At 38.4% G+C, this 17,472-nt stretch overlaps 1 long non-coding RNA gene across 1 annotated transcript in view, besides 1 other annotated feature; it reads right to left on the bottom strand.

Moving 5' to 3' along the window:
- Positions 1–16,825, bottom strand: part of LOC105375725 (uncharacterized) — a 51,661-nt gene extending 34,836 nt beyond the window's left edge. Inside the window, exon 1 of the long non-coding RNA XR_928585.3 lies at positions 16,740–16,825. This is a non-coding gene — a long non-coding RNA (uncharacterized LOC105375725). The remainder of the gene's footprint in view (positions 1–16,739) is intronic.
- Positions 3,655–4,270: an enhancer, noted in NCBI's record as "OCT4-NANOG-H3K27ac-H3K4me1 hESC enhancer chr8:120176788-120177403 (GRCh37/hg19 assembly coordinates)". NCBI's record gives its function as "activates a minimal SCP1, AML or CMV promoter by ChIP-STARR-seq in naive and primed H9 embryonic stem cells {active_cell/tissue: H9 hESC(naive and primed)}" and the evidence as "EXISTENCE:reporter gene assay evidence [ECO:0000049][PMID:30033119]".
- Positions 16,826–17,472: the final 647 nt, after the last annotated feature.

The raw sequence follows: 17,472 nt of genomic DNA, 5'->3' as shown, positions 1-17,472 counted from the left end.
CTTGAATGCACTAATTGAGGACTCAAGGTTTTTGTTACAATGGATGCTGTTGACATAGCCTTTTGAGATAGCATGCATGATGCTGGTACATTTCTCACTGTAAATGTTTTAAGATATAAATTTCTAAGATATTTTACTCTGGTGTATTTAGTTGAGCTTGAAAATACCAAGAGACCAAGTTTACATGGCAAATGAAAGATGCCGAAAGTTAAGGGAATGGGCTCTGTCTGATCTCAAGTGGCATGCTTTATCATGGAGCAATATCCCTTTTATTATTGAGGGAAGCAATGATGTTCAGGCTTTCCTTGCAATGCTCACTTGCAATTTTCTTTCTTAACACTCCAGAAATGAGATAGATGGTGAGGGGCACTCAGGATCCACTTTTCCCATAGGTATAACACTGTGCAAGTTAAATGGAACTTTTGATTCAATTTAGTCAAAAGTGGTACTTGTTGAAAGCCAGCTATTTACAAGGCACGTTGATAGTCACTGCACATAACTAAAGCTGCTGATAGATTACTACAATTTAACCTATTCTTCTGGAGTGCATCAAAAGTAGAAAGGATGAACATTTATACTTGGAGTTTGTGATTGTAAGTGGAGCTTATTCAGAGGAGTCCATGATCATGGAATCATTAGAATGAGTGAATTGGTAAATATTTATTGCATAGCCATTCTGTGCCTTTCTTTAAACACAAGCCCCAGATAATTAATTCAGTGATATTCAGCATATAGTTATAGGGCTCCTGTCATGTACAAGGCATACAGCCTCAGGTCAACTCAGTTTCCAGTGCTGGATATTTTCTCTTTTACACTCTCTTCTCTCTTTTCTCCACCTTCCTGTGTGCCCAGGAAGCTGGTCTGTATAAGTGCCACATAAAGGACTCCTTTCCTTTTTGGCTGTATGTATGATTGTTGACCACCAGCAGGAGACTGAAATGGGGAATACAGTAAAGTCAGGATATTTATTACTGACTTCTTCTCTGGGAGGTTGCTGCAGGCTGTCTGAGCCCCCTGAACAAATTTTACTGCTCCTTTTAGGTAGCCCTCTCTATACTGTTTCTAAATTCCGGTATCTTCTCCCTCCTTTGTCCACTTTAGGCATTAGGGTTGGCCTATTATGGTTAGCCCTGAGATACTGCAGTTTTCTTTGTGGTTTCTCTTACACTGCCCACACCTTGTAAATGGTACCTTTATTAATCTGTCCTTAAATGTTGTCACATGTGTGCCATCTGTGTCCTACTGACATCCAAATTGTACATTTCCTAAACTACCAGGTGAAGTGGAGCTTTCTGCTCACCTACAATAAACATCTGTTTAGTTAAGCCTTGTTAAATTAAGTTTAGCCCAAAGCTGCCTCCTTTCATATTTTAAGCTCAGCCTGAAGTTTTCTCTGAACATAGTAAACTGAAATCTAACTGGATGTATACATGAACTATCTACTCTGGTGCCAATCACCAAGTTTTGGCCAGTTAAAGGTGGCCAACTGTTGAAACTGTGTCCAAATAAGTCAAATGCCAAGCTGCAACCAATCCATGTTTGTGTACCTCCCTTCCATTTTCTGTACGTCACTTTCCCTTTTTTGTCCATGTATCTTCTTCCACCATGTGGCTGCATGCACTGAAGTCTCTATGAGCCTACTCCAGCTCAGAAGGCTTCCTGATTGTGAAACATTCTTTGCTCAATTAAGCTCTGTTAAATTTAATTTACCTGAGATTTTCTTTTAACAGCCTCTGTAGTTTGGAGGTTAATTTGCAATGTAGCTGTACTTACTTAATACAGACATAACCCAGCTGAAATAGTGTGTAAAGACTTTAAAAATATAAATCTAAAGGATTAGAGGAAACCATACCAAGTAGTACAGATTTCTTTAAAGTAAACGAATACATTTTGGAAGAATGAAGTGTGTAAATAGGCTGAATACTTGAAGGGTGATCAGAATTTGATATACTTGGATGCAGAAGAACCTGCAACAGAGATAACCTTCCTCAATAGCTCTTTGAAGAGTTAGGACTTAGACACTAGGCATTGGGAGATGTTCCTCCTGACCCCTCCAGAGGGGTTCTGCTCTGTATGCTGAAGGGTCATGGCTCTCCTGCAGGTATGCCTAGATACATATCCAGGAAACATTTTTTTTTCTTCCTTCTCTATTGTTTACCTTTAAAGGGAGAATGGAAGCTTATTAGAATATAAAGCAGACTCAAATGGAGAAACTAAACATTTGCCAGAAGTTTGATCTGAGTCAGTTTAATTCAGTTGGATATTTGCACAATTTACAAACTACTAAAGCAAAAACACTGGGTTTTGAATTACCTTAGACATGGCTTATTATTATTTTTTGCTTTGTTCACAACACGTAGTTCAGACCTTCACATGAAGTGAAGGTTCAGTAAACATTTATTGAATGAATAAGCAAGTTAATGAGGTATAAAAGCACAGATTTTTATATGATTACAGATTTCATTTTTAGGTAAATGTACTAGAATTTATCCAGGTAAATTACAAGTGTCCATAAGGTAATCACCTTGGGTAGGCATGGGAAATAAACCAAAACAATGCCACTGGTGTTCAAAGTATCTTTCATATACCTCTTTCAGAGCCAGCCACACATTCCTTAGAGAATGACACATCTTAATCTTCTAAGAAAAGATTTAATTTTGTTGATACTGTTAAATGTCATACAGTGTCACTTTTTGTATGTAGGGTAAGTGATCAAGCTAGATATATATATATATATATATATATATATATACACACACACACATAATGTATAATATATGTATAGTATGTATAATATATATTATGTAACATACAGATTTAAAACAAAGTGTAAGTTTAAAGTAATGATAGCTTTTTCCCTGATAAGACTTAAATATACTTAGAAGTAATCAAATTGCAAATATACTGATTCTAGAAATATTCTGAGCAATGCCAACATTGGAAAAAAATTAGTATGTAGCTTCCCCAGGTGATTACTCTAAAGGATAACAATCTTTTGAATTTTTAATTTCTAGCCTATTGAATAAGTGGTATTGTGCAGTTCCTGGTACTTGATAAGGATTCAGTAAAAATTAGTTGAATGAAATGAAAGAAATTTGTCCACAGGCTAGAGCTTAAACTCCATGAGAATAGAATTTTGGTCTTGTTAACCTCTAGTCTCAATACTGTCTAGCATGGTACCTTTCATAAAATAAGTGTTCAGGTAAGAACAGCTTGTAAACCAAAAATAAAATTCTAAGCCCCCAAACTAACTGAATGGACCCCCTCTCAGCCAAGAGGACTCCAAAGAAACCTAAAGAATTAGTTCAGGCTACGACAGGAAGAGTGGGTTGGACATGCTTCATTATACCCTCTCCCTTTTGGAGTTTAGACACTACTGACCAGCCCTAACATTAAAATAGAGATCCTGGGGGAGGAGCCAAGATGGCCGAATAGGAACAGCTCCGGTCTACAGCTCTCAGCGTGAGCGACGCAGAAGATGGGTGATTTCTGCATTTCCATCTGAGGTACCGGGTTCATCTCACTAGGGAGGGCCAGACAGTGGGCGCAGGCCAGTGGGTGCGCGCACCGTGCGCGAGCCGAAGCAGGGCGAGGCATTGCCTCACTCGGGAAGCGCAAGGGGTCAGGGAGTTCCCTTTCCGAGTCAAAGAAAGGGGTGACGGACGCACCTGGAAAATCGGGTCACTCCCACCCAAATATTGCGCTTTTCAGACCGGCTTAAAAAACGGCGAACCACGAGATTATATCCCACACCTGGCTCGGAGGGTCCTACGCCCATGGAATCTCACTGACTGCTAGCACAGCAGTCTGAGATCAAACTGCAAGGCAGCGAGGCTGGGGGAGGGGCGCCCGCCATTGCCCAGGCTTGCTTAGGTAAACAAAGCAGCTGGGAAGCTCGAACTGGGTGGAGCCCACCACAGCTCAAGGAGGCCTGCCTGCCTCTGTAGGCTCCACCTCTGGGGGCAGGGCACAGACAAACAAAAAGACAGCAGTAACCTCTGCAGACTTAAGTGTCCCTGTCTGACAGCTTTGAAGAGAGCAGTGGTTCTCCCAGCACGCAGCTGGAGATCTGAGAACCGGCAGACTGCCTCCCTGACCCCTGACCCCCGAGCAGCCTAACTGGGAGGCACTCCCCAGCAGGGGCACACTTACACCTCACACGGCAGGGTACTCCAACAGACCTGCAGCTGAGGGTCCTGTCTGTTAGAAGGAAAACTAACAAACAGAAAGGACATCCACACCAAAAACCCATCTGTACATCACCATCATCAAAGACCAAAAGTAGATAAAACCACAAAGATGGGGAAAAAACAGAACAGAAAAACTGGAAACTCTAAAACGCAGAGAGCCTCTCCTCCTCCGAAGGAACGCAGTTCCTCACCAGCAACGGAACAAAGCTGGATGGAGAATGACTTTGACGAGCTGAGAGAAGAAGGCTTCAGACGATCAAATTACTCTGAGCTACGGGAGGACATTCAAACCAAAGGCAAAGAAGTTGAAAACTTTGGAAAAAATTTAGAAGAATGTATAACTAGAATAACCAATACAGAGAAGTGCTTAAAGGAGCTGATGGAGCTGAAAACCAAGGCTCGAGAACTACGTGAAGAATGCAGAAGCCTCAGGAGCCGATGCGATCAACTGGAAGAAAGGGTATCAGCAATGGAAGATGAAATGAATGAAATGAAGCGAGAAGGGAAGTTTAGAGAAAAAAGAATAAAAAGAAATGAGCAAAGCCTCCAAGAAATATGGGACTATGTGAAAAGACCAAATCTACGTCTGATTGGTGTACCTGAAAGTGATGGGGAGAATGGAACCAAGTTGGAAAACACTCTGCAGGATATTATCCAGGAGAACTTCCCCAATCTAGCAAGGCAGGCCAACGTTCAGATTCAGGAAATACAGAGAACGCCACAAAGATACTCCCCAAGAAGAGCAACTCCAAGACACATAATTGTCAGATTCACCAAAGTTGAAATGAAGGAAAAAATGTTAAGGGCAGCCAGAGAGAAAGGTCGGGTTACCCTCAAAGGGAAGCCCATCAGACTAACAGCGGGTCTCTCGGCAGAAACCCTACAAGCCAAAAGAGAGTGGGGGCCAATATTCAACATTCTTAAAGAAAAGAATTTTCAACCCAGAATTTCATATCCAGCCAAATTAAGCTTCATAAGTGAAGGAGCAATAAAATACTTCACAGACAAGCAAATGCTGAGAGATTTTGTCACCACTAGGCCTGCCCTAAAAGAGCTCCTGAAGGAAGTGCTAAACATGGAAAGGAACAACCGATACCAGCCACTGCAAAATCATGCCAAAATGTAAAGACCATCGAGACTAGGAAGAAACTGCATCAACTAACGAGCAAAATCACCAGCTAACATCATAATGACAGGATCAAATTCACACATAACAATATTAACTTTAAATGTAAATGGACTAAATTCTCCAATTAAAAGACACAGACTGGCAAATTGGATAAAGAGTCAAGACCCATCAGTGTGCTGTATTCAGGAAACCCAGCTCACGTGCAGAGACACACATAGGCTCAAAATAAAAGGATGGAGGAAGATCTACCAAGCCAATGGAAAACAAAAAAAGGAAGGGGTTGCAATCCTAGTCTCTGATAAAACAGACTTTAAAACAACAAAGATCAAAAGAGACAAAGAAGGCCATTACATAATGGTAAAGGGATCAATTCAACAAGAAGAGCTAACTATCCTAAATATATATGCACCCAATACAGGAGCACCCAGATTCATAAAGCAAGTCCTGAGTGACCTACAAAGAGACTTAGACTCCCACACATTAATAATGGGAGACTTTAACACCCCACTGTCAACATTAGACAGATCAACGAGACAGAAAGTCAACAGGGATACCCAGGAATTGAACTCAGCTCTGCACCAAGTGGACCTAATAGACATCTACAGAACTCTCCACCTCAAATCAACACAATATACATTTTTTTCAGCACCACACCACACCTATTCCAAAATTGACCACATACTTGGAAGTAAAGCTCTCCTCAGCAAATGTAAAAGAACAGAAATTATAACAAACTATCTCTCAGACCACAGTGCAATCAAACTAGAACTCAGGATTAAGAATTTCACTCAAAACCGCTCAACTACATGGAAACTGAACAACCTGCTCCTGAATGACTACTGGGTACATAACGAAATGAAGGCAGAAATAAAGATGTTCTTTGAAACCAACGAGAACAAAGACACAACATACCAGAATCTCTGGGATGCATTCAAAGCAGTGTGTAGAGGGAAATTTATAGCACTAAATGCCCACAAGAGAAAGCAGGAAAGATCCAAAATTGACACCCTAACATCACAATTAAAAGAACTAGAAAAGCAAGAGCAAACACATTCAAAAGCTAGCAGAAGGCAAGAAATAACTAAAATCAGAGCAGAACTGAAGGAAATAGAGACACAAAAAACCCTTCAAAAAATTAATGAATCCAGGAGCTGGTTTTTTGAAAGGATCAACAAAATTGATAGACCACTAGCAAGACTAATAAAGAAAAAAAGAGAGAAGAATCAAATAGACACAATAAAAAATGATAAAGGGGATATCACCACCGATCCCACAGAAATACAAACTACCATCAGAGAATACTACAAACACCTCTACGCAAATAAACTAGAAAATCTAGAAGAAATGGATAAATTCCTCGACACATACACTCTCCCAAGACTAAACCAGGAAGAAGTTGAATCTCTGAATAGACCAATAACAGGAGCTGAAATTGTGGCAATTATCAATAGTTTACCAACCAAAAAGAGTCCAGGACCAGATGGATTCACAGCCGAATTCTACCAGAGGTACAAGGAGGAACTGGTACCATTCCTTCTGAAACTATTCCAATCAATAGAAAAAGAGGGAATCCTCCCTAACTCATTTTATGAGGCCAGCATCATTCTGATACCAAAGCCGGGCAGAGACACAACCAAAAAAGAGAATTTTAGACCAATATCCTTGATGAACATTGATGCAAAAATCCTCAATAAATTACTGGCAAAACGAATCCAGCAGCACATCAAAAAGCTTATCCACCATGATCAAGTGGGCTTCATCCCTGGGATGCAAGGCTGGTTCAATATACGCAAATCAATAAATGTAATCCAGCATATAAACAGAACCAAAGACAAAAACCACATGGTTATCTCAATAGATGCAGAAAAGGCCTTTGACAAAATTCAACAACCCTTCATGCTAAAAACTCTCAATAAATTAGGTATTGATGGGACATATTTCAAAATAATAAGAGCTATCTATGACAAACCCACAGCCAATATCATACTGAATGGGCAAAAACTGGAAGCATTCCCTTTGAAAACTGGCACAAGACAGGGATGCCCTCTCTCACCATTCCTATTCAACATAGTGTTGGAAGTTCTGGCCAGGGCAATTAGGCAGGAGAAGGAAATAAAGGGCATTCAATTAGGAAAAGAGGAAGTCAAATTGTCCCTGTTTGCAGATGACATGATTGTATATCTAGAAAACCCCATTGTCTCAGCCCAAAATCTCCTTAAGCTGATAAGCAACTTCAGCAAAGTCTCAGGATACAAAATCAATGTACAAAAATCACAAGCATTCTTATACACCAACAACAGACAAACAGAGAGCCAAATCATGAGTGAACTCCCATTCAAAATTCCTTCAAAGAGAATAAAATACCTAGGAATCCAACTTACAAGGGGTGTGAAGGACCTCTTCAAGGAGAACTACAAACCACTGCTCAAGGAAATAAAAGAGGATACAAACAAATGGAAGAACATTCCATGCTCATGGGTAGGAAGAATCAATATCGTGAAAATGGCCATACTGCCCAAGGTAATTTACAGATTCAATGCCATCCCCATCAAGTTACCAATGACTTTCTTCACAGAATTGGAAAAAACTACTTTAAAGTTCATATGGAACCAAAAAAGAGCCCACATCACCAAGTCAATCCTAAGCCAAAAGAACAAAGCTGGAGGCATCACACTACCTGACTTCAAACTATACTACAAGGCTACAGTAACCAAAACAGCATGGTACTGGTACCAAAACAGAGATATAGATCAATGGAACAGAACAGAGCCCTCAGGAATAACACCACATATCTACAACTATCTGATCTTTGACAAACCTGAGAAAAACAAGCAATGGGGAAAGGATTCCCTATTTAATAAATGGTGCTGGTAAAACTGGCTAGCCATATGTAGAAAGCTGAAACTGGAGCCCTTCCCTACACCTTATAGAAAAATCAATTCAAGATGGATTAAAGATTTAAACGTTAGACCTAAAACCATAAAAACCCTAGAAGAAAACCTAGGCATTACCATTCAGGACATAGGCATGGGCAAGGACTTCATGTCCAAAACACCAAAAGCAATGGCAACAAAAGCCAAAATTGACAAATGGGATCTAATTAAACTAAAAAGCTTCTGCACAGCAAAAGAAACTACCATCAGAGTGAACAGGCAACCTACAAAATGGGAGAAAATTTTCGCAACCTACTCATCTGACAAAGGGCTAATATCCAGAATCTACAATGAACTCAAACAAATTTACAAGAAAAAAACAAACAACCCCATCAAAAAGTGGGCAAAGGACATGAACAGACACTTCTCAAAAGAAGACATTTATGCAGCCAAAAAACACATGAAAAAATGCTCATCATCACTGGCCATCAGAGAAATGCAAATCAAAACCACAATGAGATACCATCTCACACCAGTTAGAATGGCAATCATTAAAAAGTCAGGAAACAACAGGTGCTGGAGAGGATGTGGAGAAATAGGAACACTTTTACACTGTTGGTGGGACTGTAAACTAGTTCAACCATTGTGGAAGTCAGTGTGGCGATTCCTCAGGGATCTAGAACTAGAAATACCATTTGACCCAGCCATCCCATTACTGGGTATATACCCAAAGGTCTATAAATCATGCTGCTATAAAGACACATGCACACGTATGTTTATTGCAGCATTATTCACAATAGCAAAGACTTGGAACCAACCCAAATGTCCAACAATGATAGACTGGATTAAGAAAATGTGGCACATATACACCATGGAATACTATGCAGCCATAAAAAATGATGAGTTCGTGTCCTTTGTAGGGACATGGATGAAATTGGAAATCATCATTCTCAGTAAACTATCGCAAGAACAAAAAACCAAACACCGCATATTCTCACTCATAGGTGGGAATTGAACAATGCGATCACATGGACACAGGAAGCGGAATATCACACTCTGGGGACTGTTGTGGGGTGGGGGGAGGTGGGAGGGATAGCATTGGGAGATATACCTAATGCTAGATGACGAGTTAGTGGGTGCAGCGCACCAGCATGGCACATGTATACATATGTAACTAACCTGCACAATGTGCACATGTACCCTAAAACTTAAAGTATAATAAAAAAAAAAAATAGAGATCCTAAGACTGACAAAGTAGACTATTTGTAGCAATAAGCTATCAAATTCCAATCTGACTCTAGTAGAGCATCACATGATAGCAGGCCATGAAGGAAATTGAAGTATTTTGCCCCAAAATATATTTCTTTGACATATTTTGAAATGCCCTGCAAAGCTGTGTCTTGTGGGGGAAATTTATATTCTATCAAGAATCCTTTTCCCTTTCCGGGTCTTTTTCTGAGGAGATTAGTGGAGACTCTAACACCGGTTAAAGGTCTGAATAGGAAACATTTGCCATCTACTGCCTCTAACAGTTGTTACTTATGACACTTCATCTACGTAATAAGAACCTCGGTCTCCACAACTTCTTATTTTAATCCAGCCACTCTATTGATTCCATGCTTTTACATAATAACTTAAATTTTTCAACCAATTGCCAGTCAGAAAATCTTTCAATCTGCCTATGACCTGAACCCCCATCTCCACCCACCACCCCCTCTTTGAGTTGTCCTACCTTTCTGGATTGTACCAATATATACCTCACATGTATTAATTAATGTCTCAGGTTTCCCTAAAACATATAAAAAACCAAGCCATAACCCAATAATCTTGGGCACATATTCTCAGGACATCCTGAGGCTGTGTTACAGGTCATAATCCTTAACCTTGGCAAAATAAATCTCTAAATTGATTGACACCTGTCTCAGATACTTTTATATAATCTATCAAAAATTGTTACATTTTGGATTAAATAAGAAAATTTATACCAAAAAGTTTTGCAGAATGTTTACGAACTCAATATATGTTAGTTAGGGTATTTTATTAGGGCCTTCCAGTTTAAAGTGATGTTGGTTGCAGATGGCAGTTTGCCTGGCTAAATGTTAGGCAGAGATCAGAAATACGTAATAAAAATATTGGAAAGGTAAAATGAAAATTTGGTCAATATAATGTTGTTCAATATAATTTGAGAAGTTCTCTGTTAAAATAGAATAGACCTGAGTTCAAGAATAAAAATCAATATTGTTCTTACATCAGAATCACTTCATTTGCATATTACTGTTCACATGAGCCATGTTTTTCCATCTAAAAACACTTTTAATACCCAAGTTAACTCTTGATTGGAATTCTAGGCTTGGAAATTAGATAGAAACAAATTTTCTAATTTCATTTCAGTTTTCTAGACCATGACCTTTTACAACTTTATTATAAAGTAAATATTGAACAAACATGAAATGCAGTATCAAAGACAAATTAATTTTATTGGATGTCTGTGCTTAGATCATTCGGCACATTTCTGGATTTATTTCCCAGGTCTCAGCCAAATTTATACATGGAGAAGAATAGAAAAGAAAAGACATCTTCTCCAGCTTGAAGTCTTAGCATGGGAGCAGGGAGGAATGGGACTAGCGTGTGTGCTCCCGAGCCTGGTAGATGGACTCAAATCCTGCCTTGGCCAGTTATTCACTTTCAGGCTAGTTCCATCATCAACAATAGGGGAGTGATATTAGCTACTTTATCAACCTGTTGTCAGAGTTGGCCTGTAATCTATGCCAAAAACTCACCATACTTGGTTGTCATATCACAAAATTATAGTGGAATCAATTCAAAGTTTTAAACTGAGGAATGCATCAAAGTACATCCACCATACTGTTTGAGGGAAGGAACACATCTTTATACACCTAGAGCCAGGTATAAGACTACACATATTGGGTGTGTGTTAAATGTAATGAAATAAAAAGAAGGGCTTCAAATGTTTTCTGTGGATACAAAGTAAGTATCCTTTCATTGTTCATGTACTGTATGTGTAGCCATCTCTTGCCAATTCATACTTGGAATGCAGTGGCATTTGACATGGACCCAAGATCCAGGAATCCTCCAATAGCTGGCTAACACCTACATGGATTCAAGAAGGCATTATGTCAAAGGGATATTCTTGGAAAAAGTCATTCTGTTTATTTTTAAAATACTTTCTGCCAAATCCCAATAGAGTCTTCTTACCATACAATGCCATGAGAAAGCGTTTAACATGGACTATAGTCAGCAGGACAGCTGTTCTACTTGGCCCCATTTCTCTAGGTCTACACCCTAATCTCAACTTTCCATTTTAACACTATGTGGTGAGTAAAATAGATCCCAAAGAAAAGAAAGGAGAGAATTTATGTATTTATACTTCTTATACTAATAATCCAATAATATGGCCTGAATTGTTCTTGGACTTGATCCCTGCAAAGGAATAAATCTCCTTAGTGGAGTTGGAGGGTAAAGATGAGCCCTGGAAACCACTTTTTCCTCACAATTGTCCCCTGAATCTTATCTGCACCAGCCCCACTGCAATTTCCATTTTCATTTACATATATTTGGGTTTATCAGTTCCAACTTGGTTCTTGCTAGCATTATCATCCTAAAGCAGTTATTCATCATCCCTGAATATGAATTTGTTTATCTGGGAATGGAGATCTCTTACTTCAGGATTGTTCTGGGGGAAGGAAAGAAAAGATTATAGAAGAAATTTCTGAAAACTGGCCAGTATTCAGAAAGTGTTAATTCTCCTAACAAAGCTTTTGTCAGATTCGTTTGTTTTTTCTCTCCATCGGTCACCTTAATCTTAAGAAAACTTTGACATATTTCTTTATGCCAATGCAACAGAAAGAGAGGGTTTAATGTTTTGACAAAGTTTTCTTTTTTTTTTTTGGATTTTATTTATTTATTTATTTATTATACTTTAAGTTTTAGGGTACATGTGCACATTGTGCAGGTTAGTTACATATGTATACATGTGCCATGCTGGTGCACTGAAATCTAAAAAGATGGTAACACTAATCTGTATTTAGCAATTTAAGACATTAAAAACATTGAGAATTAAAAAAAAAAAAAGAAAAAAAGAAAACTTTGACATAAACAAAATCCAGGGGGACAATGGAGAGATATAGGAAAACAAAAAGACCAAAAAAGATAATATGCCAAATGAATATTTATCCCAGTGAATGAGTATTGCCTGCTCATCCAGCAATTCTCACCTCCTTCCTCTAGAAAATGATGTTTCTCCCACACTTAATGGTCTAAGGATGAGTAAAGAACTCCAAAGTGACACCACTTACTGTTTGATGTTTGTTGACTGGTCTAGGTATAAACCCTTCACTTAAACTGACCAAATTAGAGAACTTCTCCCTAATTTTTTAATTTAGGAAAAGAGACATCAGGGGTCAGTCATTTTCTTGTGATTACTCTAAATGACTGAAGATGGAGTTGCCAGATTCTCTATTTCCTGCTGGTGGGGAAAATCTTTCCTAAGAAAATGAGGCCAACATATAGAGAGAAGACATGAAGTATGTTCTGGAGACAACGGGGTTTCAATTGCAAATTGGACCCTGGGGTGTATTTGCTATTTTTGTGGTTACAGATCTTCAAATCAATGTCTATTCTTTGGCTCAACCAGTTTCTCATTGACTTGCTGTAGTTTTCAATTAGAAATAAACTTCACTTAGGAAAGCCTTAAAAAATTTAAGAATCCATAAAACCCCACTCCAGGGACAACAGAAGACCCAAGGATCCTGAAGTTGGGGTTGATTGAAGAGTGGGTGTTGTCCTTACCTAGCTCTAAGTGGAACTAAATTGAAAGGGATTGAAGTGAGGGGCAAAGGAGAAGTTGGGAACTAAGAGGTCATACAAAGGAAGCTTCTGACCCTTATAAACCAGTCCTAAACAACAAAAATAACAACACAAAAAAGGGACTCAAAAGCCAGAGTCTTCAACCATATGTAACCGAAATGGAGTAAACCAGATAGGAAGGGAAGTTAAAAGGCAGTATCTATCATATCAGTGCTGACATTCAGGTACTGATGCCCAGATGCCAGTGCCCAAAGGATGCCTATGACTCCACTTGCAGAAGGGAAGGATGCTGTTCAGTGGGTGGTATGGAACTGGTTAGAATGTTTTCACACCCAGACAGTGAGTTCAATAATAGAGTATTCAAATGACAGTGTTTTAATTCTTTATTTACATCATCTCTTGGTACAATGTAGATACTTTTTGTTTATGTATAGGGCTCCCGAGTAAAGGAAAAACATATCTAGTGAAGTTGTATTCTCACATTTAGAACACTAGGCACAAAAAAAATCCAAATTTATGAGACCGTCATGTTTCAACACTGAATGATTCTTTATTCTATAAAAGATTTACCACAGTATTTCTTTAATCTAGTAGTAACCTCCTTTCAATATAACTAAATATGAGTCAATTTGTATGTAAAATTTCAGGACATATCTGTATATGAAGAAAGACAAACCAATAAGCACAAATAAAATGTCCAAATATTTAATATCACAAATTTTAGCTTGCTGTAGATGATATATAAAAGTTCAAAGGTTGCACATAAACCCATCTTATTCCAAATGTGTCATATTTACTTTATTTTAATGGTTCTCAGATGTTCTCTATATATTTATTTATTCACGCCTACAATCAAGATGAAAAGGTTGTAGGCTCTTTAGAGGGTCTTTACAACTCAACATCCAAGGTCATAAATTCACTAATACCACAGCAAGGACTAGTGTATGGAAAATAATAACCATTATCTCTTAGATGAGTTGAGTCTTTTACAACAGAAAGCACTTTTCCATTTATTATATTATATGAGCCTTATAGCAATCCTTTGAAGCAGGTATTATTATAGACTTTGTAAGGATGATAAAATTGAACCTGGGACATTAAATGACTTGCCCAAGGTTATACATGGGAATAGTACATGGGGGAGCCAAGCTCCGTATCCTAGTCTTGTGAATATTTTGCTTTCCAGTACAATAACAGCTGCTTCAGAGAAAAACACCTTATCTATCCTTGAATGAGCTGTCTGAGATATCTTATAAATGATGGTAACAAATTCCTCTAAGGCAGTTTCCTGTTTTCCAAGCATGATACTGCATAATTGGCCCAGGATTGAACTTCTTGAAAATTGTTCAGAAATCAAAGCCCAAAATGCATTTAGGCAGTTTCTCAATTACTTGGTACCAAACTTTTTTTGGATCTGATCCTGTTGTCATATAAGTGACAGACATGCCCCAATTCCTATCTGTTAAATTAACTACTGCTATTTGTGTTAAACAGATTTAGAAAAATATGTTTATTCTAAAACCAGCTAAAGCATATACTAAAGTGGAGTAGAACTTTCAGTTGTTAATTTTGCATAAATAAGTCAGGGAAGAATTTTTAAAAATTGAAGCTGTATTTAAAAACTTGGATATTTTATTGCTTTTTAAAAGAGCTTGTCATCGAGAATATATAATTTTGTGAGTCTGAGAAATATATAGTCATTATTTTTATAGTGGTATGTTTGCTTTATTGAGCAAATCCCAGGCTAATAGTCCATTAGAGACTAAGGATAATCACACAGTATAATGAGATTTTTTTTCCCATTTATGGATAGATTTTGGAAAGAACAAAATATATATGGCCTTGTTAGAAATAAAACACTTTTTTCTAGATTAATCAAAAATATTATGGAAAGGTAGAATGTGCTTATAATATCAGGCAAAATAAAATTAGAAGGTAGAAAAATAATTGACTAGCTAGGTTAATAATTCATTTAAAAAGGAATCTCTAATCAACCAACTCCATCACAGCACTCTTCTTGCCCAAATGGGAAGTTTTAATTATGTATGAAAACACAGTTGTATCATGGAATAAATAGTATTTCACTTAACACTCTCTCTTTACAAGGAAGCACTCAATCAATTCACATTAGAACATTTTGAGGGGACAGAACATTCAGCTGTCATTATCAATCTTTAAAATTGATAACTCAATCATATTAATGTTGGTGACATCCAGAGAGTCCCTTAGTGGTATGTCCAGGCTTCAGCTAATTTGAATCCATGGAAAGATAAAGGTTTGCCTGAATAATCTTGTTGCAGTAGCTGTTTCCATCGTAAAATCATTATCTTCAGTCAAAGTATATATGCACAAGACATTTGATTCATTACTTCATTTTAAATGTACTTACAGGACCAATATTACAGAAAAAATGTCATGTATCAAAAAGCCCTCTTGAAATGACTGCCGTTTTTGCTTACAGTGTTGCAATATGCAGCCAGTTTTTCAAATAAATGCCATATTAGCAGGACAATTATTTACATCCTCATTTTATAGTAGGAATCCCTAAGCCTTTCACGTATTGTGGCAGACACTATGTCATATAATTAAGTCAATAAAACATTATACCTGTGCATGCTGAAAGCATAGGTAGTTATAACAATTTCTTCACAGACATTTGGCTCATCTTCATGGCCTTAGGGAGGGTGTCTCTGAAATGAAACCAACCAGCTTTGGCACTTGATCTGGACTTGGAATGAAATTTGTGTGGGTTGGTTCCAAATGTTATCAAAGTTGCCTAGCTACCACATTTCAGTAGAGGAGAAACTGAGAATTTTGACAGCATTTGGCCACATAGCAAATTACCACGGCCTCTCTTGACAGCATGGGGGAAGGGAGTTTTCCATTTTCAACTAACATATCTCTTTTGACTAAGACCGACTCCGGGACAAATGCTAAGGTAAATAGTTCTCCGTTACTCCCAATTCACATCAGTATTTAGTAGCTTTTAGGCTAAAGTATGGACCAGGAGTGAATTAAAAAGTCAGTGAACACAGGTAGGTCAATTAAGGTCAGGAGTTTGAGACCAGCCTGAAAAACATGGTGAAACCCTGTTTCTACTAAAAATACAAAATTAGTAGGGTATGGTGGTACATGCTATAATCCCAGCTGTTTGGGAGGCTGAGGCAGGAGAATCACTTGAACCCAGGAGGCGGAGGTTGCAGTGAGCTGAGACTGCACCATTGCACTCCAGCCTGGGCAACAAGAGCGAAACTCTGTCTCAAAAAAATAAATATAACTATAAAAAGTCAGTGAACAAATATTTTCGAGCCTTGATGTGCCAGGATAGCACAGAGGACTATAATACAAGGGTATGGAAAGCCTGACCTGAGGGAATGGTGGTGGTGAGGAAACTTGATGTTCCAGGATAGCACAGAGGACTATGATACAAGGGTATGGAAAGCCTGACCTGAGGGAATGGTGATGGTGAGGAAAACTTCCTCAAGGAGGAGGTCATTAACCTGGGACACAAAGAGTGTGTTGGCACAGAAAAGAAAAAGAGCTTTGTAGGCAGGAGCAACTGCCTGTATGAACATTCAAGAAAAGGAGCATACTACGCTCAGAGCCTCCAGAAAGCTTAATAGGGCTGAAAAGAAGATGTATTAGTCTGTTCTTACACTGCTTATAAAGACATACCTGAGACTGGGCAATTTATAAAGGAAAGAGGTTTAACGGACTCACAGTTCCACATGGCTGGGGAGGCCTCACAGTCACGGTGGAAGGCAAAGAAAAAGCAAAGCCGTGTCTTACGTGATGGTAGGCAGGAGAGTGTGCACAGGGAACTCCCATTTATAAAGCAATCAGATCTCGTGAAACTTATTCACTACCACTAGAACAGTATGGTGGAAAACACCCTCATTATTTAACGATCTCCACCTGGCCCTGCCCTTGACATGTGGGGATTATTACAACTCAAGGTGAGGTTTGGGTGGAGACACAGCCAAACCATATCAGAAGACAATTGTATAAGAGGAGCAAAAAGTAAATTGCAGTCAATTCAAGCAAAGTCTTAAAAGAAATATTAGGAATTTTTGACTTTATCCTAAAGATAAGGGGAATATTTTAAAGCAATTTAGTAGAGAGCCTTTATAATCACAATGATGGTTTTAAAGAGGTCCTATGGACCTCTTTAAAGAATCAGTGGTGACCTGAAAGGCAACATTAGATGCAGGAGGCCAGTTCGAAGGATATTATATTTTCATTATATTGTGACAGACAGAAGATGATGGAGACATGTATTTGCGTGTTGCCACTAGAGATGGAGAGAAGAAGACGGGTTTGAGAGAGATTTTAGAGGTAGAGTTGGCAGGACTGGGTGACTGTGTGAGATGATAAAAGGAAGGTAATATTAAGAATGAATATACAGTCTCATGAATGTCCATGAGAAATGAATAAGGAGCAAGAATTCTTCCTT

Source organism: Homo sapiens, chromosome 8, assembly GCF_000001405.40.
Source record: "Homo sapiens chromosome 8, GRCh38.p14 Primary Assembly".
NCBI classification, from domain to species: Eukaryota; Metazoa; Chordata; class Mammalia; order Primates; family Hominidae; genus Homo; species Homo sapiens.
The sequence above is the reverse complement of the archived record's forward strand: the minus strand, read 5'-3'. Positions and strand labels throughout refer to the sequence as shown.